Source organism: Homo sapiens, chromosome 13 (assembly GCF_000001405.40).
Source record: "Homo sapiens chromosome 13, GRCh38.p14 Primary Assembly".
NCBI lineage: Eukaryota > Metazoa > Chordata > Mammalia > Primates > Hominidae > Homo > Homo sapiens.
Genome location: NC_000013.11, coordinates 35,471,807 through 35,495,332, shown reverse-complemented (window position 1 = coordinate 35,495,332; position 23,526 = coordinate 35,471,807). Strand labels below are relative to the sequence as shown.

General features: G+C 35.7%; 2 protein-coding genes across 16 annotated transcripts in view, besides 4 other annotated features; one reads left to right on the top strand and one right to left on the bottom strand.

Annotated features, from left to right (window-relative positions):
• NBEA (neurobeachin) overlaps positions 1-23,526 on the bottom strand; it is a 730,467-nt gene that overhangs the window by 177,404 nt on the left and 529,537 nt on the right. For 14 of the 15 annotated variants that reach the window (XM_047430271.1, NM_001385012.1, XM_006719803.4 and 11 more), the window contains one exon: positions 22,797-22,933. In XM_047430271.1, coding sequence (XP_047286227.1) covers positions 22,797-22,933 — 137 coding nt within the window. Of the gene's footprint in view, positions 1-18,495; positions 18,525-22,796; positions 22,934-23,526 lie in introns of those variants that run through there. The other variant, NM_001204197.3, reaches the window with a different exon arrangement.
• Positions 15,762-16,558: an enhancer, noted in NCBI's record as "OCT4-NANOG-H3K4me1 hESC enhancer chr13:36052912-36053708 (GRCh37/hg19 assembly coordinates)". NCBI's record gives its function as "activates a minimal SCP1, AML or CMV promoter by ChIP-STARR-seq in naive H9 embryonic stem cells {active_cell/tissue: H9 hESC(naive)}" and the evidence as "EXISTENCE:reporter gene assay evidence [ECO:0000049][PMID:30033119]".
• On the top strand, positions 18,644-21,544 carry MAB21L1 (mab-21 like 1). The gene has a single exon (NM_005584.5). It carries the CDS (start codon positions 19,195-19,197, stop codon positions 20,272-20,274), a length of 1,080 nt encoding a protein of 359 aa, NP_005575.1. The 5' UTR covers positions 18,644-19,194; the 3' UTR covers positions 20,275-21,544.
• Positions 18,978-19,036: a tandem repeat, named in NCBI's record as "mab-21 like 1 repeat instability region".
• Positions 18,980-19,036: a repeat instability region, noted in NCBI's record as "repeat instability region; expansion of the (CTG)n trinucleotide repeat (CAG relative to the plus strand of the reference genome) to around 40-50 repeats results in meiotic instability of the repeat and somatic mosaicism". NCBI's record gives the evidence for it as "EXISTENCE:polymerase chain reaction evidence [ECO:0000082][PMID:9152839, PMID:8733127]".
• Positions 19,072-20,068: an enhancer, noted in NCBI's record as "H3K4me1 hESC enhancer chr13:36049402-36050398 (GRCh37/hg19 assembly coordinates)". NCBI's record gives its function as "activates a minimal SCP1, AML or CMV promoter by ChIP-STARR-seq in naive H9 embryonic stem cells {active_cell/tissue: H9 hESC(naive)}" and the evidence as "EXISTENCE:reporter gene assay evidence [ECO:0000049][PMID:30033119]".

Genomic DNA, 23,526 nt, shown 5'->3' with positions numbered 1-23,526 from the left:
TATAATTGTTATAACTCCCCTATAAGCTAATCTTTTTTGATTACAAAGTGTTTCTCTTTGTATGTAGTGGCTTTATTTAGTGTAAAAGTCTATTTTATCTGATATTATTGTAGCCATCTCTAGGTCTTTTATGGTTGCTGTTTGTGTGCATATCTTTTTTTATCTTTTTATTTTCAACCTATCTGTATCTTTGAACCTAAACTGGGTCAAAACACATAGTTAACAGCATCTGGTTGTATGTAGAGAGCACAGAGTTGGATCTTATTTTTATTTTAATTCAGTCGACAGTCTCTGATTTTTTTTTCTTTTCTTTTCTTTTTTTTTGACAGAGTCTCACTCTGTTGTCCAGTCTGGAGCACAGTGGTGTGGTCACAGCTCACTGCGGCTTCAATCTCTATGGGCTCAGGTGATCCTTCCACCTAAGCCTCCTCAGTATCTGGGACTACAGGAATGTGCCACTATATCCAGCTAATTTTTCTATTTTTTGTAGAGATGGAGTTTTGCCATGTTGCCCAGGCTGGTCTCAAACTCCTGTGCTCAAGTGATCCATCCATCCCAGCCTCTCAAAGAGCTGAAATTACGGAGCCACTGCACCTGTCTCTGATTTTTTATTGGACTGTTTAATCCATTTACATTTAATGCTATTATTGATATGGTTGGATTTACATCTGATATTTTGCTTTTCGTTTTCTGTATCTTTCATATCTTTTTTGTTCACCTCTTCCTCCTTTACTGCCTTCTTTTGCCATTCCTTCACTTGTTTTTTAACTACATCTATTTAGTTATTTTATTAGCGATGGCTCTAGGGCTTACAATATATTAGGTTGATGCAAAAGTAATTGCAGTTTTTGCCATGAAAAGTAATGGGAAAAACCACGATTCTTTTGCACCAACCTAATACATCTTAATTTATCAGACTACAGATTTATTTTTCAAAAATTTAGATCTTATTTGCTTACCCACAGGATTTGAGGCAGACTTGACTTTTTCCCTTAAGTCTTAATCACATTTTTGTTACCATTGTTGATCAGAAGGTGCCAAGCAAAATTCTCTAATATTTTGCTCTCATCTAGTCTTCTGACATATCTCACTGTCTCTGTAATTCCTCAACAATGATTGGTCCTTCAATCAAACCTCCAAATTCTGTTAGTACCCTGAAGTCATGAATTCATTTAAAGTGATTAATTACTTTCTTACTATTTTCTTACTTATCATTGGTTTTGTATTCCTTATATTCATATTCATTATACCCTTTATAAAGTTACATAAAGACAAATATATAGAGTTGTTTTTAAAAATATTTAATAACTAAAGATTTAAATTTGAAATTATACATTATAAAGAAATCATTAAATTTATAAAATGAATTCATTTTTAAAAGATTTATTGTAAGGATCCTTTGAAGAATAAATTCACAGATATATTTAAATATAATTCAAATAATAAAAATATGCTAACTTTTCAGGAAGGTATATGTTGCACATGACGAGATACACCTTTAAAGGTAAAACTGCTGCTATTTTGTACTCATCTCAAAGTTAAATAATACAGAGAACTGAATGAATTTTAGAAGGGAAATCATCTACTCCAATGCCTTCATCACACAGGGCAGGAAACTAAGCTCATTAATAAAGATTGTATATTCTATTCAAAAAGGAGCAAGCTCTAAAACCCAAGCTTTCTGGTTCCTAATGGAGGGCTTCCTCACTCTACTGGGAAACTAAAGAAAGTTATATGATATGAAAACACTTAAGAGTAAAGTATCTTTGGCAGTTTTACATACTTCAAATAAAACATATGACTAGGTCCTACCAAAATATCCTGATGGACACTTTGGTAGTATTGGAAACAGATATACTAAAGTGGATTATCACTTGGGCAGACACCTAAAAAACACTTTCATATGGAATGTTAGGGTCTTTTAAAATAAGAGTCTATGAATTCCCTGGCTCCAGGAATAAATTTAAATAAACTCCCATATCATTAGTTGTTGATGATAAAACTGCTTATCAAATCTCTCAAAAGTATTCAAAGCATTAGGCTACAAAGGATTTCATCAAGTTATCTTTTGGCTTCCAAAATCCCAGCAACCCCTCTTAGGCCCATTTGTTTGTTTTGTGCAGGCTCTGGTGACTCAGATTGTCTCCTGTTCCATTCACTTAACAGCATTCATTCTACTCTTCATGGGTCTTCTTTCCCCAAAATTCTTTCCCTCTCCACCCAGAATCTTATAATCACTTTTAGAGAATTCAGTATTCATATAGACAATCTATTCTGTACCTTAATCTTAAAATTCTTTGATTTCTTTGTATTTCAGCAGTCTATGCCTGTGTCCATATTCCGCTTAGTAAACTATTCTGCCTATGTTTAAGCTATCTCAGTCACTTATCTATTTAGAAATTTTACTACATCTACTTTTCTCCTTCATCTAGGGTTGCCAGGTAAAGCAGGATTCAGCATCGTTATCTCCCATTCCTTTTAGTGACAGTTTAAACATCTAAGTCCCTTCTTGAAGCTTACCTCAGTCCCAGTGCTTTAAGTGCCAAGAGAAAACTGAGGCCTAGTTGTATAATCCACCAACTTTAAAAACCACCATCTACAAATTTATCTTCCACAATGCAACAGTTTCTTCCTGCTACATTTTCAGATCTCCACCTGTTTATCCTAAACCCAACATCTCACCCTCCACTGTTACAAATACATATGGAATAAAATAAAATGCAATATTAATAATTGTGTAGAGTTTATCTTCAAGGAAAAAAGCCATCTCTCATTGTAGCCTCAAGACAATGATACCATTTCCTTCTACTGATCTTGGAGATAGAGAGACCTCCATGATTTAGTCCTTCATTTTAACTTTAACCTCTCCTCTATGGCTTCTTTCTCTATGCCCTAAATATGTTCAAATACCTTTAAAATTTTTTCTTGCATCACTTCATAATTACCATACTATCTCTTGCATTTCCTTTATTTCTACTTTTTAAAAATTGTTTATTTCCATAGGTTTTTGGGGAACAGGTGGTATTTGGTTACATGAGTAAGTTCTTTAGTGTGAGATTTTGGTGCACCCATCTCTTGAGCAGTATACATTAAACCCAATTCATAGTCTTTTATCCCTCATTCCCTTCTGACCCTTTCCCCCTGAGTTCCCAAACTCCACTGTGTCATTGTTATGCCTTTGCATCCTCAAAGCTTAGCTCCCACTTATGAGTGAGAACATACAATGTTTGGTTTTCCATTCCTGAGTTACTTCACTTAGAATAGTCTTCAATCCTACTTTTCTTGAAAGTGTATTGTCTACCTCACTTTCCACCTCCGATTTACTCTTCAATCCTATTGTGATCTGCTTCTGTCTCTACAATTCCATTGATACGGATGTGGAAAGACAAAGAACTTTTTATGTTATTTGAACTCTATGTGGTAGCTGAACTGTTGTCCACTAACTTTTTATTACAACTCTCTTGTGTTTGGCATTTAAGATAGTCATATCTGTTAGTTTTCCGCCTTACTTTTCTGAACATTCCTTCTCATTTATTCCTATTGGATCATATTCCTCACAGAGGAATATTAGTGAGAAGCTATGTTCCCTAGCATAATTCCTTGTACTTTTTCTCATTCTATATTGCCTCAGATAACCAGTAGTACACATACAGGATAATGGGCACCAAAAATAAATTAAGAGATGATGGTGGCTTGCAAGGATGGAAGCTGTAAAGTTGGTGAGAGATGGGCAGAGTCTGGAGGATTTGTTGACACTCTGGATATTGGGTACACAAGCAAGCGAGGAGTCAAAGATGACAGCCATGTTGTTGGCCTAAGAAACCGGAAAAAAGGCACTGCAGTTTACTGAGGTACAGATGACTGATGGAGAAGCAGGTGCTCAATTGGGAATCTAAGTTTGAAATGCATCTTATATATGTGAGATGATGTGGAGAAGACCACTGAACATACCAGCTTGAAATTAAGGGGAGAGGTCTTGGCTAGAGATATAAATTTAAGAGTGATCAATGTATAGAACATATTATATTGGCGAGTATTGTTTGAAAAATCCTTCACTCATTCAGGCACTGAGTACCTGCTATATGCTATCAAAATAACCAGCAAAATTAACAAAATCTTCCACTGGGAAGTACAGAACAGATGATATTCATTTAATTATTCATTCAACAAACATACCTAAGCATGATGCTACATAAACTCAGAAGTCTGGAGATAGAAAAAGCTGGGTTTGAGTCCTATCTTTGCTAGTTACTGTGTGGTCTTGGGTAATATAAGTTTAAAAATATTCTTTTTAAAACACATAAACTTTTATGTGTATTAATTTATTTAACCTGTGCAACAACCCTATGACACAGAATTATCCCTGTTCTACAGATGACAAGACAAACTTAGAGAGGTTCTATATGATGACTAAGAAAGCACACTCTGGAGCCTGGGGCCAGATGGCATAGATGAAAATCTTAACTCTGCTAACTCCTAGCTTTGTGAACTTGGAAGAGTTACTTGAATTCTCTGTGTTTCAGATTCTTAACAATGAAATGAGGCCAGAAGTTTCTACTTCATAGTGTTGAGAAGATGAAGGTACATACAGTAATATAGATAAAGCACCTAGCAGAATAACTTGCAAATAACAAAAACTCAGTTTTAGCCAATTTTACCAATTTGTTCTTTGTCTTGTTTAAAGATGTAAAAATGTTCTTAAAAAAATGACCTGCAACTTTTCATCAAGTTCCTAAGACATGTTTTCGAGTGTTTAGCTGACTTTTAGGCAGAAGGTAAAATATGAGAAACAGTAACTTCTTACGTCAGGGTATACAATTAAGACTAGAATTTATCTGAGGCTGGATTAGGTATCCTGTAATGAGATTCAGGAATCTCCAACTGGTCCTTTGGTTGATAATCAGTCTAGTTGGTGATCTACATTAGTACAGGTATTTCAGTATGTCTAACTAATAAAGTGGTACTTGCCCTTAAGGGTTTTGTTATCTGGGCTCTAGAATATGGTAAATATTAAACACTGGAATCAATAGGTAAAACTAACAATTCTTAATAAATTCTACTATAGTTTCTAGACAACAGAAGATCAAATAGGACATAGCTTATAAAACTACTTAGCTGAAGTGGCTCCACTATCTTATTTACTGAGTATAAGGCTTTAATAAAGTTATAGCCTTCTTTTGTTGGCATTTGTGTCTGTCCTCATTCTAGTGTGCCCTCAGTAAGCTACCAGATCTGAACCCGCACAACAAAAGTGCCACTCATTGAAACAGTTATAACAGGAAAGGAAAGCAAGTTGATGGGATTTACAGCGTTACAGGCCACTGAATCACTGACTACTTGGTGAGGGCACGTAAAGAAACATCATTTTCAACACTGCTAGGACAGTGAAGCCAGGTTAATGAAACAGCTTTGGAACATGAAAGCTATTCATAAAGTTTTTTTTAAACTTCAGATTTCCTTGGGAAACCTAATTAAGAAATAGGAAACTTCCATTAATAATTTTCAATTATTTTACTTGTAGGTTTGATTTCCCAGTGGTACATTTTTTAATGAGCTTTTATTGCTTTATATTTTCTATGCTATTATCTACTTGCAAGTGCCATAAACATTTTGAGATTTAAACAAAAACATAAAATGTTGAAGAACTGGCATTCTTCTCAAGCCTGGGGACTAATAAGTAACGTAAAGTTTTACTTTGAAACATGTTTCTCAGCCTTTCAAATACCGAATTTACTTTTGATGTCCATCAGCTAAGCATAAAGTAGCTGTATCAACACAATGCTAGGAAAAAATAAGTGGCATAGATTATGATTTGGAGAATTCTTAGGGATCAGAGAAGAGCATAAGAATAAATCACTTAGAGAATTAGCTGTATTCCAGGCTTCATTAGTTCTAATTATCCCCCAAATATGCCCAGCAGAATGCACTTGGGTCAGCTGGGACTGATACACAATAGAGTAGGCAACTTATAAACTCCTCAAAGCACAGAAAGAGTTCATAAAACGACCGCTTGTGCATTTAGATTCATGTGATAACACCTCTTATTGCATAAGCCACCAGATGAAACAGATGGGGCAGCTCTTCACTTGAGAATGTTTCTGTTGTAAACGCACTGGACTTCTTTATTCCCCATTCAAGATACAAACTGCAAGAAAGCCAAATTTCAGGCAGGCTGTCTTTGTCTTTTATTGCCTAGATGTCACAGCAGTAATAAATAAAGTAGTAATGAAACATCCTCATTAAAAAAAAAACTTGGCAAATAAAAACATGCGCCTGCACTTAAAGAAATTCAAGGCTTTAACACAAAAAAGTTAATGCAATTTTTTTGCCACCCATACAGACATAAATGTATTTTGTATTTTACAAATTACTTAATTAATATATATTAAAATGCATTTTGTATTTTACTACTGCTTCTCAAATGTGTTTTGAGAATTCTCAGAATACGTTTTTTCCAACAATGTATTTAATACTTAAGGGAGGCCTCTTTGCCCTACATTCACCAGTTCACTCTGTGATACTGAATATTCAGTTCTAGGCACTGCACTTGAAGAAAACAACTGAGCATAATGGGTCTTGTGACTACTTTGGTTTAATTTACAAATTTTCACATTGGCTTCAAGTTATTAAAAATATCACTTTTTAAAAGTATTTACCTCTGCTCATGCTAAATTATTTAGAAACTCTTGTTATTGTCAAAAGGTTAAAATATGTAGATCAATATGTTGGTGATTCCTATAACAGTCTACAAGTCCTAGAAGCACATCTATTTGCATTGAAAGTTTATTAGTTTGCTAGTCATTGATCAAGCATGTGGGAAACCTGCAGATTTCATTTGTAGATACAAAATTTATTGACAAAGCAAAATTGATAAATGCCAAAATACATAAAGTATATACTTTATCCCAAATGAGGCTTCTTAGTTACACATTTCGATAAAGCTATGAAAAACTAATATTAGGATTTTAAATATTTGGAAAAAAAACTATACGAAGGCTGTGGAGTATTTAGTAAATTCAATGTATCCTGAGGTCTTATTAAGTGGATTAGCTTCCTTCTACACTTAAACTGAGCAAAAACATTAAATTCATTAAAGTTAGATTGTTTTGCTCTGAATATTCTATGTGTAGCTTATGAACACATTTTTAGAAAGAACTGTTATGCCTATTGATTCTTAAAATAATGATGTATAACTTATTATTATAAGTCAAGTCACGGAAAAAATACCTAAAAATAGCAAGATATGAGTTGGATGAATACAAAAGTCATGTACTTAGGACCTCGGTAATAATATGTTTAAACAAATAAGATATTTGTTGACATACAGCATTTATCTGCGTGGGTATGGATATGCCCAAAAAGCTCATGTGACCCATGTTTCGCTATTATTCTCCACTTTACATGTACCAATCCATTCTAGGAGTAATACTTTCTAGGCACCGTACTTGAAGAAAATCATGTACCAGAATGGCTCCTGAACAGTGAGGTGACTTAAAAGATGCCAAAGGTGTAATAGCTGAAAGACTGGAGTATGTTCAACTTGGTATCTGAAATGCTGAATTTAAAAAGCATATATTTGTTAAAGGGATAATACTATTCAGAAGGGAAAGTAGGGGCCAGAAGGTGAAAGTTTCAAGGGGAAATATTTTGGTTCAATATTAGGAAGAGCGTTCTAACCACTAGAACTGTTGTAAGTGCAATTAACTATCTGAGTAGGTAGTAAGTTTCTCATTCATGGAGGTAAAAGTAGAGGTTAGATAACCACCTCTGGCTATGGTTGTTACCATGGCTGGTAATGGTGTAGAGAAGATTCAGACAGTTATGAAGAGGGTTACATTGCATTATCCTCCAGAGTTCTTTCCTGCCCTGATATAAAATGTCTGACTTATGCGGCAGAATTACTTTTTTCCCTGATACTAACTGCATGACACATTTTAGTAAAATTTTCACTGTAAGTTTTAATTTTTATGTAGAGTGAAATACAAATTGAGCATAAGTACTGATTAGTAACTATAAGTACTAATTCTATATAAGTACTAATATAATTCTACTAATCAGTACATAAAATAGTCTTTATATAATAATATAATCATATGTATCATTGAAAAAATTTCCTCACATTTTAGTATCTATACCAAAGAATAATTTACTACAGAATAAATACAACTGGCATTGGCATAGCTTTCTTGGAAATGACTGCACTTAAATTCATGATCAAAGGAAGTTTTCAATGTGTCTTGAGCTGAAAAACAATATTGTGGGTGGTATAGCTCACTGATATTACATAGTAAAACTATGATATGGATAAACCTTTATAAAAGAAAAGTATATAAATATTTCACTCAAGTAATTATTGAAATAATTGCTTCTCCTCATCACATTTATAAAGGTATATCCCATTAATCTTAAGTTTTACAATGAAGTGGTTATCTAGGTGAATTAGTCCAATTTGATATTCAGTAAACAGTACATATCTTTCCTAAATAGTTTCTCCCAATGTGATAGATCAATACATTATCCTTATAAAATTAAAATTTATAACATAAAAGTATCTCAGTATTTACCTATTTAAAAGCATCCTATAAAGAACCTATCTTTAAAACTCATCAATTATGTTGTTTATGTAAATGCAAGCCTAGTAGCAGTTTCTATGAATTATATCTGGCTATGGACATATGTAGTCTAGAAACTGTAATGCTGATGGCAGCCACAGTCAGACAGACCTGGCTCTGCAATTACCTGTGTGACCCTGGTAAGATGCAACCTTTCTAAACCTCAGTCTCTTTATTTGTAAATGGGAGCTAATATTTGTTGTGAAGATTAAATGAGATTAAATACTCATTAAATATTGGTCCCTGTTCCTTGTCACCCATCTTTCCCAGCTCAGAATTATTTTAAGTATCAAATGAATTAATGGATATAAATCCTTTGTAAATTGAAAAGAATGTTGCAATTGTAAAGCATTATCTCATTTAATAGGTAATTTATCCCTCTGAATTACATTATGGTTAATGGTGTTCATTATTGTTTTGAATAATCCATGTAAGTATAGGTTCTGTAATATGATAAATTTCTATAGAACAAATTAATAACTTAAAAGATCATATTTGAAAATACCCAGAGAAAACAATCATTAGCAACAATTATTCTCTAAATCATTTTGGAATAACTAAGTTTTAATGACATAATATAACTATTGGCTTGGGACAGGCTAGGCTTGTACAAGCAGTGGGAGAATTGAGGCTTTACCATTCATTCAGGTGAAGAGAAGAACATATTTTCCCTCAAAATTTCATCAGCCTATTTTTTAGACTAAACAATCTGGAGAATTTTCTCAATTACCTATTACCTGATTTATACGCAGAGTTCAAATACACACTCTAAAGTGGTTGTGAAGTATGTCTTACCCAGAGTTTCTTATTTAAGAATATTACAGCATTCAAGGGTAAAACACTGTAAATCATACAAATACTGGAAACTTTTAAAAGCATTATTTGATATTATTCTGATTTTTGTTTTTAAAGATACAGATATTGAAACTATCACAGCTGATCATTTCATTCTGACATGAGTTTTAAAGGTTAAGTTACTATCTGAAGAAAGGTAATCTGGTTGCCTTTCACAGCAGCCTGCAAGCTCTGCAATCTGCATAGAGAGGGGCATTTGTCATCATTAGCTGAGCTGTGACAGCTGGCACCCAGGGTGTCCCAGAATCAAGAAGTGGCAGAGACACTCTTGGTTTAGGTTGCCATTAAGTATAGTAGGTTTCTTGAGGATCAAGTATATTTTACGAAAAGCTTTGCGATGTAACTAACAGTAGTGAACATATTTGAATTTTCCATAACATGGATAATACAACGATAGCACATAATTAGCAGGTTGCCTCTAGACAACAAGATGCCAGATTATAGTATGAATAAACATCTACTGCCTGCCACTTAGAGAGGTAGAATTGTTTTCAGTACCCTAACAGCTCCAGCAGAGTGGTTTTTTCAGGGCTGGGTGATTAATTAAGTATATTGAAGGAAATAGGTTAAAGATGGAGAGGACAGTTCTCAGATATATTTTAAATTTGGTTGTAAATAATACATAACTTCCCAAGAATTAGCTAAACTGTACACATCCAATATAGCACCCATCTTTTTTCATAATATGAATATGAAAATTAAAGTAATTCATATAGATGCAGTCTTCCAATTGGCTGAAGTGTACGTAATTGGTAATATGTATTTAAAAATATTCCTTGGCAAAAGTTCAAAATCAAAATCTTCTTACCAAATGGGTGCTACTATGAGTCTGAAACAGTTGTGGTAAGTATATCTAGAAAAGAAGTTTTAAAACTTTAAAATGTTATAAATATGTCTTTTAGATCTTAATGTAAAACTATTTATCAAAAGAAAGTTTAAATTATACAGGTTGATCAGACTTTTGAAAATTTAGAATACTACCACCCCTCTAAAGTCATCAATGCTTGGAAACATAATCAATAACAGGGGTTTTATATTATTATGTAAACTAGTTTTCCACAAATAAAACTAATTTTTGTGTTAATGTAAAATCTATGCAAATACATGCAGTCATTTATCAGGAAAGCTGACAAGCATTCCATATTGGAGGGGAAATGAAACTGCCTCAAGAATAGAGGCAATTAATTATTTCTGTATTTTTTCTTTTTCTGTCTTGAGGCACAAAAGTTATCCATCCAGTTAAAACAGCAAATGAAATAAAGAGATTTTTTTTTTATTTAAACACATATGGCTTTTGCCTGCAATACTGATCACCACAAGGTCTACAGATGCCCGTGGCTAAATTGTACACTGGCAGATGCACACAGGGGAAAACTGTGCTAATGCAGCGTGGAGAGCAAAACAAATGAAGAACTGAAATTGCCAGTAAAAAACAAAAAACAAAACATCCCACATTTTTCCCCCTGAAGAGTTATACATTTTGTTTATCAAATGCAGGTTAAGGTTGCAAAAAATTTAAACTTGGTCTGTTGCAAAAAAGTAAAAAACAATTTTAAATTAGTGAGGGTCTACATATATATATATATATATACACACACACACACACACACACACACACACACACACACACATATTAATGTAGGTAAATATTTAAGTAAATTTTTTCTATGGACAAAATGGCTAGCAATAAACTTCTCAATTTCATAATTAAAAGCTTATGACATTCAAAGTTGACGTAGTATATGTGACTGAATACATGCTGTTGGAATTTCCCGTGTTATTTTAAAAATCCATTTAGGTACAGTCTCTTCAGGTATTATCAAAAACTGTTAAGGGTTATTATGAGACAAACTTGTGGATGTGGATATTACTTCCTGGTGGCAACAAGATTCCAATATTTAGTGGTTGTTTCCTTTTAACAGATGAATACGGAAAATGTATAGAGGCCAATTCAATCTTTTGCTATCTTAAACACTGGTGTTTTTGTGTGTGTGTGTGTCTGTACACAGCCTGCATGCATGCATGGGCTATTTTGCAAACCATAAAAAGAGTGTATTTCCTAAAGATGGTTTGAGATTATTAAGAAAGCAATAACTTCTTTCTTAATAGGCCTGTAAGCATGCATAACATTAAAATTTCTATTGTAACTGCAAAATAAAAATACAAAACAGAAAGCATTTAAATAATTTGTATATCTTGGGGGAAGAAATAAAAGACTAGTTGTACTATTCCAAGTTGTAAAAAGACAAAATATTTGAAAGAGCATCATTATCAATGTCTTCACTCCTATAATTTAATAATTCTTGGTTTAGAGTATTTGTAACCATCTACATTTACATAATAATGTATATTTATACAAAATTAGGATAATGTATATTTATACACATGTCCCAAGAATGTGCATATATTAAGTAATATTAGATCTAATAAACTCTTTAGCCTCAATTCCTACCACTCAAAGGGAAGGTTAATTTACTGAAAATGTAAAGTAAAAATATTGAGAAATCTTGACATTTCTTTCTCTAGTGCCATAAAGCTAGAAACATTACAAATATGCCTCAAATGTTGCTAACTTATATGAGAAACCCATTCTTACTTGCATATTTTGATGTGTAAGCTGTAAATCAGATTCATAAATCTAACACATATATTCATGTTAGCTACTAAATATTAGGAGTTTCTTTGAAAAATCAATCTTCTACCAAGTATTAATTTGTCACATACATGAAAATTAAACTTTACATAAAATAAAAATTATAAACATATTGCTTATATATCTGAAATATTATTTTACACTTTGCCTGTGTCAGTGTTTTTTGATTAAAACTTGTCTTTAATTAGAAGCATGACAAAATAGTAAACTCTAGGGGAAATAAATAACGGTGTTACAGTCTAAAGATCTTTTGATATAAAACTAAAACAGCCAGACATTTATACATTAATCATAAAATTTCCAAATAAAAATAATGAAATCAGGGCATGAAGAAACATTTTTGTGGTAATAGAAATGTTCTATCTACATGTGTGGTAGAGCTTCTATGATGGTATATATTTGTCAGAATTCATAGAATGGCACAATCATATGGAAAAATCATGGAATACTACTGTATGCAAAGTACACATCGACATATCTAACTTAAAAAAATAAATTTCACAGACATATCTAACTTAAAAAAAATAAATTTCACAGAAAAACAAAGCTATACATTTTATTTCACTAGGTTCCCACTTTTTTTTTTTTAATCAGGAACACCACTACATCTTACAAACTATGCTGTTCATGCTTCTAATTTGATTGGGATTTTAGATAATAAAATGGATAAGGATATGTGAATGTAAAAGTATTAACTATTCATTAGTATTACTTTAGAATTGATATTTTTGACAAATCATTATATGAAAAAGTGTGCTTTCAAGAAATAGTACATATTGGTGTACTAAAATGTATATTATTACAATAGTGAAAATATTGAAATGTAACTGGAAATGAAATATTATATAGGTATTATATTCTCAGATAGTTATCTCTATACTTATATGTAAAGATATAAAGAAAATTTATATTTATAAACTAATTTCCTTCTTTTTCTGTAAACCATTTATTTTACTGCACATAATATACATGATAAAAGGTAATCGTTTTCTATTTTATGTAATTATCCTTTTAAATTATTACTCCAGTTACTAATCATTAAAAAAAATAAATCTTACTTTAGAAGAATTACTTTGCTCATTAAAAAATAAGCTCCAAAACTATAAATTAAAAATAGGAAAGGTTATTTTAGACATGTAATCACTGGAAGTTGATTATCTATGTACCATATTCTAGTCTCAAGGTCATGTTGAATATTTCCAGTGGCTTAATCACATACAGTATGAAACAGTAATGAGAGCAATGCAGTCCTGGATGACCTAGTACAGATGTAGGGATTAACAGACACTAATCGATTCTGATTCCTTTGTTTTCTCTAAATGCAATAAAAAGATAGCATATTAAGAGTACTAAAAATGTAGCCATATACACAAATGTACGTAAATTCATGTATGTAAAATCATACATACATTTGTGTATATGTTGTAGGTTAGGAAATACCTAATTTTCATACATTATATAGAAAAGAATCATGTGAGCCCATTTATCCTGTCTGAATATTTCTATAATATCACAAGAAAATTATAAGCTGATATCTAACAAAAAGATTTTAGTTTTATTAGAAAGATAATAGTAACTTTCTGAAGGGTTTGTGAGAAATTAGACTATTGGAATCCATATTTCCTACACAGTATTCAATAAATGAATGACTAACTTCATTGTCCTTAAATGTTTGGAAAAGGTTAGAGATCACAATTTATGCTGAACAATAAAAAATTCTTTAGGTTGATAACCTCCCTTTCCCCATTTTTTTTTCAGTTTACAGATACAACTGAAAACATCCTGTACCTCTGTGTACATATGCAAATGAAGTGAGGAAACAGAGACAATTATGAAAATAAGCCAGGCTTTAAATTTCTTTTTCTACCAAAAGAAAAGTTTTGGCTAGTTATCCAGTATTACTTCAAGTCTGCAAATCAAGCAGCGGTGGTCAATTCTTACAAGTATACTCCCAACTTCCATTTTTAATCTCAAAATTTTCTTTTCAAAAACCTATTAATACCAATATCAAGCTTATTAAGCAACACTGTAGAGAAAAAAAGTACTCTTCACTACAAATGTGACTATATGATTGTGAACTAGGGTGATGAAGAAAACTGAGGCAAAGGCCTTTATCAGTCAAGTGAAGAATAAACAATTCTAAAAAATTAACCACGATTCTCAAAATGTTCTAGTTGAAGAAATAAAATAGGGTCTAAATTGTGCAAACAGTGACCTCAATCCTCTGCTTGACTTTGAAATAAATCTGATATTAAAAGATGAAATAATTACTTTAAGAAATCACTGAAACCTTGAAAGGTTTCAAGCTATTTTTTGTCTCAAGTGTTCTTATACCAGGAATCACACAGGAAGAAAGGTATAGATGCCATCAAATTAGGTTACCAGAAAAACTCTCTCTATTTTACTTTATTTAATGTGACACATAAAGAAAACCCTGCACAAATATCTGTCTTTAATTTCTCTAGTGTAAAAAAAGAAATATATTGTGTCTGGCAGAATGAAACACTTGAAATAGCCTGGGTGCATTTAAAAAAAAAGAAGGGGGAAAGAAATCAGATGGCTACAATGAGCCTTCAAAGCCACTCCAGCAGTAGGGATAAATAATGTAATAAACTCAACTTCATATTCTTTTTATCTCCCCAGCGTAATAAGCACATATTAAAAAAATAAAACTTTAAATTCATTAATACTTGTGAATAGACTAGCAGCTAGCAGATAATGAAAAAACACCAAACAATATCTATATAAGCACTTAACATGTATGTGCATATCCTTTAACAGATACCTTTTTTCCAGATGAAAGGTTACAATTACTGAGATTTGTGAACATGCAATTCAAATTTAAATCAGGTTTTTTTCGAAAACAAAGAAATATTGCATTCTTGTATTTCTCAACATAACAGGGTTTTTCTTTAAGCTTAATAATGACACTATTTATGAATTACTTTGTATATCCCATATAAGTAAGCAGGTCTGCAGAAGTGGAGACAAGTTATTTAGGAAATACTACTTGAGGCAAAGTTGTTTTGCCACTGTTATTTCGAACGCTTCGAAGTGTTAAGGATCACAATATTTAATTATTTTATATTCACTAATACTACTAACATTTATGATAATGGTGTGCTATGTCCTTATTGCTTTTTTTTTTTTTTTTCCTAACTGGTACATTTTAAATCGAGCCTGCCTCATAAACTAAGTAAATGCAATGTAAAAGTCAGTTAGGCATTAAAATTCTAAATACCATTCAATATAAGCATTTCAAACTATCATTAAATCATGAGATTCTTGAGATTTTTTTCCTTCAATTAGGCCAGTTTTCCTCAATTATCATTCTATTATTAGCTCATGTCAAAGATGTCTGCATGCCTACCACTGAAAACAATTAAGTATTTACATCCTAAAGCATGACACACACACAATTTTATTCTAGTAGCACTGAGTATATTTACAACAAAAAATATTGCAAGACTGGTATAACTGGAGTTTTTTAAAAAAACTTTTCACATTAATACATAAATGTATATTAAGCCATCTCTATGTACTACATAATCATTTGACATAACTAGTTTAATAGGTCAAATGATATTTTTTTAAAATTCACTGAAAAATAGTTAAATATATTACTCCCATAAAATAAATATATCCCCCAAGCCTAGATTAAAATCGGCTGAACTGCACAAAAATGTACTGTTATTTGCAATCCCTCTCTATAGGTCATTTCCATAAAAAAATTTCGGGGATGGAAAACACGCTTCTCCGAATAGCTTAATTCTCGCTTCAACAATGAGGGGCGTCTACGATCACTGAAAGGATTCAGCTACAGAAGGCAATTCATTTCACGTGTTCAGTGTAATAGAAAATCACTGTGTTGCAGCAACAAGCAGTACTTGCACTAGAGTATTATTCATTCCAGGGCGCCCAGTTCACCCACAGTGATAATCGCGGACCGGTGAATCCTATGTTATGTAAATCACCTTCAGCTCCTTGTGTGAGGGGTGCTTAAGGAAGCAGCTTAGAAAACACAGTCCTGGCGTCCTTTAAACTAAATGACTTCACTTTCCTGAACACTCTAGATCTAATGAGTTTCCTAGTATACCTTTTCTCACCATCCATTTTTCTTTCTCAAAGTGCAAATCGTTAGTGAAAAGGCGCTGGTTGCACCAATTAGTTTGCACAAAGTGCTTCGGTGTTTAGCTTCGCTTTAACCCAATTAAGCTGCACAGTGAGCCCCGAAGATGCGCCACCTGCGCGCCTGGCTCCAGCCAGGCCCGACCGGCATCCCTCGCAGGCCCGCGTCCTTCCCGTTGGACCCACTTAAGGTCCCCCGAACAGCCCTGGGGCCTCCCCGTCCTCGGCTGTCTCACGTCCTTGACAACCAAGGGTGTTCTGCAGGTGGCCCAAGAAGGCAAGGGGCGAGGTCTTGGGGCAAGCATCTCTGGCCTGAACCCAAGGGAGAGAGCGCAGGGCGCAGGGGCCCGCGGCTGGGGCTTGGCTGCGACCACACCTGGGCCGGACGTGGGCGGTGCAGGCTGAGGGGTGCGTGGGCAGACCGTGGTCTGGAGCAGACGTGGAGAGTAAGCCGGGACACCAAGTAAGGTTTTCAAATAAGCTCACGCAGAAATAAAGCGTAGCGATCTTGAGCCCAGAGAGGAAAGTAAGAGGGCACGGGAATGCGGAGCAGCGAGAGAGAGGCGGCGAGCGGACGGCACAGGGCCACACGCGCCGGGTGAGGGCAGAAGGCGGCGTTTCCCCAGAGACCACTGCACATCCTCGCCGTCGTGGCTGCAGGTTCTCCGGCTCTGATGGGTCTCCCCTCCAACTGCCAAAAGGTAGTGGTGCATTCACCCGCGATGACGGCAAAGTGGGGAGGGGTTTTTTGGGTGTTCCCAGACCCTGCTCTTAAGGGGATGGAAGGTTCTTGGGAAATAGAGTAGCTGGGTGCCACGCACCCCAATGTATACTATTTTCAGCTAAATTGGAATCTATCACTGTTGGATAAGGAGAAATTAAATAATAGGTGGTTTTGTGATGCTGTGCCTGTGCAAAACAAAACACACAAACAAAAATCAAAAGCTTAAGTAGCAAGTGGGAGCCCTGAAGAATATCTTGTTAAAAGTGACTCTGAAAGTGTCTACAAACATGTTACCGGGAGTTATAGGATTTGACGGGAAATATTCTTAATTGGAAAGACGTGGCATCTAAATTAAAGGTAGACAATTAAAAAAATCCACCTAGTTTTAAAAACCACAACGTAACCACTAAGTAGTATTTCTTTAGTTTCCTGTACTTTGAGGACACAACTGGACCACCAACTAGAAAAAAAAATTCCTCCTCCTGTTTCCAGGTTCCAAAATTCAGAAATGAAATGATTTATTTCATTTTTGTTTTCAAAATGATGTTTAAATCCAAAAAACCCCCCAGATAACTGCAAGTTAATTTTCTTTGCAAATGTTAACCATTTTCCCTTAATTAAATCACACGAAATAGTATAAAATTAGAAGTCTACTGCCAGGTCACCACTTAAGGACACTTAAGACAGGAGATATATCCTTAATTATACATCTGTAAACAAGCCAGATACCCCAAACCTTCAATTTTTCGGGATAGTTATCTGTGAGGAAGCTTGATCTCTATGATCTCACCTGAATTTTATGTACTAAAATACAGGTCACTATGAAATAACGCTAAAGTACTCTGTCCATCCCACAGACAATTTATTTTTCAAATGTTTCTATAAGTGCATATATAGCGTTGTGTCCTGCTTGTAATGCTGGGCAAGTCCACCAAAGTGCAAAGACTGCATCTGCTGGGGCAGAGGGATGTACGAAATATTTTTTAAATATCCTAACTTAAACAGGGGTAGAACATCTCACACACTCAGCAATAATTTTCAGATTCAACAAATGGAGAAAAGAAAAAAACATAAGTAAAAAAAGAGCATACTACCTCCATAACGTTTCAAAAAATCATTTTAACATATAGGAACATCCAGAATGAGAAAATTACACAGGTACTCCTCCATCTAAAGCCAACTTCCATATGCCAGTAGTCTGCATGAAAGAACAAACTTTCAACCTGCATTTAAGAAGACCCCAAGGATTAACAGACGTTAATTATCTTACTCTAAATGCAAGTTAGTGATTTTGTTTTAGAAAACCCCGTCAAGATCACTAATTGATGGATGCCCATTAATACACCTGTATTTGCATTTCAGCGGTAAAAGACAAGCAGGTTTTCGGCACAGAAGAGAGCCGCTTTGCCAAGTCTTTTCAAAACGTCAATATGCTTCAAGTAATACCAAAGCTGAGAGATTCCTCTTGATTTCCAAACTGTCTAGGTGGCCTGAGTGGTTTTCCGCCGGCAGCAGCCTCCTACCTTTAGTTTGTGTGCCTATATCCATGAGTGGGGATTAATTAGCCGGGTTGGAGCTGAAGGAGGCTGTCGTGACGAGCCCAGTGGCGATTGGCCGCCCGCCTGCCTGGCCCTGCCTTTATAATTTCCACACGAGTGCATCTGGGCTCTTAGACAAACCAACAGCAGCTTCTTCTGACATATACACACGCACACTCACCCCGGACACACACTCAGCACACTTTTCCTCCATTTGATTAACAGTGCTGCACACACAATGATTACGGGAAAGCGCAAATAAATACGGAAAGGGGTGCTTATTTTGACTACTGGAAGAGCTTTGCTGGGTCTCAGCGCAACTTTTGTTTTTTATTCCTGAGAAGGTGATCTCTCCATGCGGTTCTCTCACACAAGGATTCTTTAAAAGAGGAAGAGAGACAAGCAGAGGGGGGAGGACAGTCTTTCACTTTAAGAACGGCTGGGCTCAAAGATAAAAGGAAGGGAAAAGCAGCAGCAGCAGCAGCAGCAGCAGCAGCAGCAGCAGCAGCAGCAGCAGCAGCAGCAGGGAAACCAACGCTGCAGCACTTCCGAAAGGCATTTTTGATCCATTTCTGAGTGTTGCGGCCCGTTTCTCCACCGAAGTTGGCTCCAGCTCTAGCAGCCGCATTGGATCCCACAGCTTACTGCGAGACTCCGGTGTACAATCCGGATCTCTGCCCCAACATGATTGCGGCCCAGGCCAAGCTGGTCTACCATCTGAATAAATACTACAACGAAAAATGCCAAGCCAGGAAAGCTGCCATTGCCAAAACTATCCGGGAAGTCTGCAAAGTAGTTTCCGACGTACTGAAGGAAGTGGAAGTGCAGGAGCCGCGGTTCATCAGCTCTCTCAACGAGATGGACAATCGCTACGAGGGCCTCGAGGTCATCTCCCCCACCGAATTTGAAGTGGTGCTTTATCTCAACCAAATGGGGGTGTTCAACTTCGTGGACGATGGCTCACTGCCCGGCTGCGCGGTGCTGAAGTTGAGCGACGGGCGCAAGAGGAGCATGTCCCTCTGGGTGGAATTCATTACCGCCTCCGGCTACCTCTCGGCGCGCAAAATCCGGTCCAGGTTTCAGACGCTGGTGGCTCAAGCGGTAGACAAATGTAGCTACCGGGATGTGGTAAAGATGGTGGCAGACACCAGCGAAGTGAAACTGAGAATCCGAGATAGGTACGTGGTGCAGATCACGCCGGCCTTTAAATGCACCGGGATCTGGCCGAGGAGTGCTGCCCACTGGCCACTTCCCCACATCCCCTGGCCGGGACCCAACCGGGTGGCGGAGGTCAAGGCGGAAGGTTTCAATCTCTTGTCCAAGGAGTGCCACTCCTTGGCCGGCAAGCAGAGCTCGGCGGAGAGCGACGCCTGGGTGCTGCAGTTCGCGGAGGCAGAGAACAGACTGCAGATGGGGGGCTGCAGAAAGAAGTGCCTCTCCATCCTCAAAACCTTAAGGGATCGTCACCTTGAACTGCCGGGCCAGCCCTTGAACAATTACCATATGAAGACTCTGGTTTCCTACGAGTGTGAAAAGCATCCCCGAGAGTCGGACTGGGACGAGTCTTGCCTGGGTGATCGGCTGAACGGGATTTTGCTGCAACTTATCTCCTGCCTGCAGTGCCGGCGGTGTCCCCACTACTTTCTACCGAACTTAGATCTGTTTCAAGGCAAACCTCACTCAGCTCTGGAAAACGCTGCCAAACAAACGTGGCGACTGGCAAGAGAGATCCTGACCAACCCGAAAAGTTTGGAAAAACTTTAGAGGATGATTTAATCAAGAGCCGAAATTATTACCCTTCTCAAAGTCCTTATTAAGTGTAAACTTCTGTTCAATTCCTAATATTCCACTCCGCAGTGCAAACAATCTCTTCCTTTAAAAAGGAATAATAATACAATATTTAAACATCATCTCACCCACCCCCACAAGGGGAGAAAAAGTAGGGGAAGCGGATGGAGAAAAACCCAAAGCCACTAGTATTAGAAGACTTCTTTCCACACGATTTCCTATCTCCCTTGAAAAGTACACCGTAACACTCCGTAAACAGCCCAGCTGTAACGCCAGACCGAGACGAACACTCTGCCTAACTATCAAAGGATTATAGCAATCCTGGTGATTTAGGTGCATCTGTCTGTGAGTAAACACGATTTGGATATGCCATCTGAAAGAAACTGTAATGTATATTTTGATTTGTAACAAATATTGTGATCTCACATTGTCTTTGAAAGTGTGGATGTTGGTGTTTTGTGATTTGGTGAACAGAACTTAAATTGCCATTCTGGATACTTCCAGACATTTTCCACTAACAAAGATATCATTTAAAGGTAGATTTCTTCCTGGTACTTTTATCTGTCTTTGAAAGTGTCTGAACTTTAAAAAGTTTACATTTTGTTTCAAATATTGCTTGTTCTATTTCTAACATTCCATAAATATACTTGAAATGTTATTTAAATATATTCAAAGAAATTTGAATTCAGCTTATATAATAACGCTTGAATATCTGAATTATATATTTGAAAAATGCACTTGAAATACACTGGATAATTACTTTTGTGATTTAGATTTTAATTTGTTGCTGGTTTTTATTTAATTAGATGGTAATAAATGAAGTAAAATAAAAGTTGTTGTGTCTCACTTTAAATTGTTTCCTATCACAAGATGTAATGATGCATTTTGAAAATCAAACCCACTTGAATATCTTAAATATTTTGAGAAATATGCTAATGAAATCCTTAAAAATAAAACATTGGAGAAAAGCTCTTTCTGTATAGGTCCATAAGATAACAATCTACTCTCAGTCTCTAACTTACTTGTAAGACAATTCCTTTCTACAACAGAAACAATTTAAATCTACCTTTGAAAGCTTGCTCTTCTTGTAGCATTTTTGATAATATAAGAAAAAAAGTCTATCATGACAGTAGAGATGACTGAGTTAAAAATCTGACTAATTCAGAGGAAATGAACTTAACAAAGTCATAATGAAACTTCGAAAATTATGTATGAAAACTAATAAAACGATCCTTTCTGACCAATATATTTTATGTCAAACCTTATTTTATGTAATAAGGGTTCCATTAGCAGAATAAATTCATTAGAAATTCAACATTTCTTTTTGACTTCATAGGGCAAGCTAATAAAAGGATGAACACAAAATTTAAGTTATTTTAAAATAAAATACAGTGCATTCAAGCTCATTTTAAAAACTACATTTGCAGCTAGAAGTAAAAGAAGTCCCATGGCTCTCCTTTGGAAGAGTTTAGTAGTCAACAAGTGCTGAAAAGGCTGATCACCTATGGGCCTTAAGTTAGTTAATTCAGGTGATGGTAAATTTTTGGATTTCAGCTCTAGTCTACAAATACTATTTTATAACATTTTATTTCAATATCTAAATTAAAAACAATAAAGTTCTGGATCTGTGGGAGCATTTGTCTTTGACTATTTTAGAATAACTGCCTCTGAAAATAAAGGAAGATCTTTGCAAAATGATGCTAGAATTTCTAGCATGACACTTCATGCTGTTGAATTCTTAACCCCAGAATAGAAGTTTGCAAATTGCACAGTAACATGAAAGTTAAAACATTAGAACAGATCTCAGAAAATGCTGAGAAAGAGCTACTCTAATACTCTGGTGTTTAAAATCTACACAATAACATTTAATAAATATGCATTTAAATGGTCCAAATTTGTATTTTCTGGCATTATATCCAAAGAATACAATATTTAAACATCTGAGTGCTAGCATATATATTTAAAATCAAAGCTCAGAGAATCAGTTGCTTTTCTCTTAAATCCACATATAAAACCCATTCTTATTTCAGGAGATGGACAAAATGGGTGTACTAATGGAGATTAATTTATATCTAAATGCTCTCCCCCCAGTTTCCTTATAACTTTTCAATAATCACATTACAATATAAAGTTTTGAAAATTAAAAGTGATCTTAATAAGAAATTTCTCAAGACCTTTCAAAGTCAGCCTCAGAGCCTGAGATTCTGGGCCCCAGGGACTTGGAAGCAATTGGCTTAACTACCAAATCTGCCCAAATGCAAACAAAGGCACTCATAGAAAGACTGTTAAAATGTGCATGCTCTGGTAATACAGGATTTAAATTCATTAATATATTCTTCAATTCCATAAAGAGAACATGCTATTTCATTCATTTTATTTTCTATGAGAAAGAGGAGAATGTGCTCCCCTCCTCCACTGTCAGGTAAAACCAAACAAAATTGAAAACCACTTCCTGCCACAAAGCCACCAATACTGTACATGGAATCGCTTTAACTCACTTTCGTGTCGATCTTCTTGAAGGCAGAATCATCCTCATCTACCTCGAAGTAGATTTCTGTCGTGGTGATGGAGAGAGTCCCCTTGGCCACCACCACGGGAGCGATGAGCTGGGCAGGGGTGCTGAGAACCACTGGGCCTGCAAGGCAAGGACAAGGGGAGTCAGGCTGAGCCCCTGTGGCCCTTCCTGCTCCCTCCCAGAAAGGTACCAGAGGTTTTTATTGGTAAGGATGCACTAGAAAAAATGGTGCCTGTATTATGCGGCAAACTCTTTTTTCACGTAAGATAAGGACTACTTAGCTTTTATACATTACCTTATAACGAGACTAGAGAGAAAAAATGGTATGAAAACCCAGGAGGTCAGGATACCGAATAACGCTCAATTTCCACCTAGAAATCCTACATGGTTGGTAAGGGGCTGCCATTAACTTACTTAAAAGTGCAGAACGGACAAATGCCCCAATTCTCCATTGAGTATCACTGGCTTTTCCAGAGACCCTAGGCAGTCAGCACTGCCCCCAAGACCAGCCATCGCGCGAAGCCGTTCCACTCAGCAGCGGCGCTCCCCAAGGAGAGGCGAGAGGACGAGAAGGGGGCAAGGATCTAAATGATAAATTCCGCTGTTCAGAGCGGTTTGCCTCTTGCAGGAAGATTAATCTAATATCGGTCTCCTAAGGCGCGCTACACACACATACATACGCGTGCATACGGACATTACATAAAGTTCTTACG

Bases quoted from the DNA above. Each gene is read 5' to 3' on its own strand.
- MAB21L1 (NM_005584.5), top strand. From the start codon at position 19,195: ATGATTGCGGCCCAGGCCAAGCTGGTCTACCATCTGAATAAATACTAC.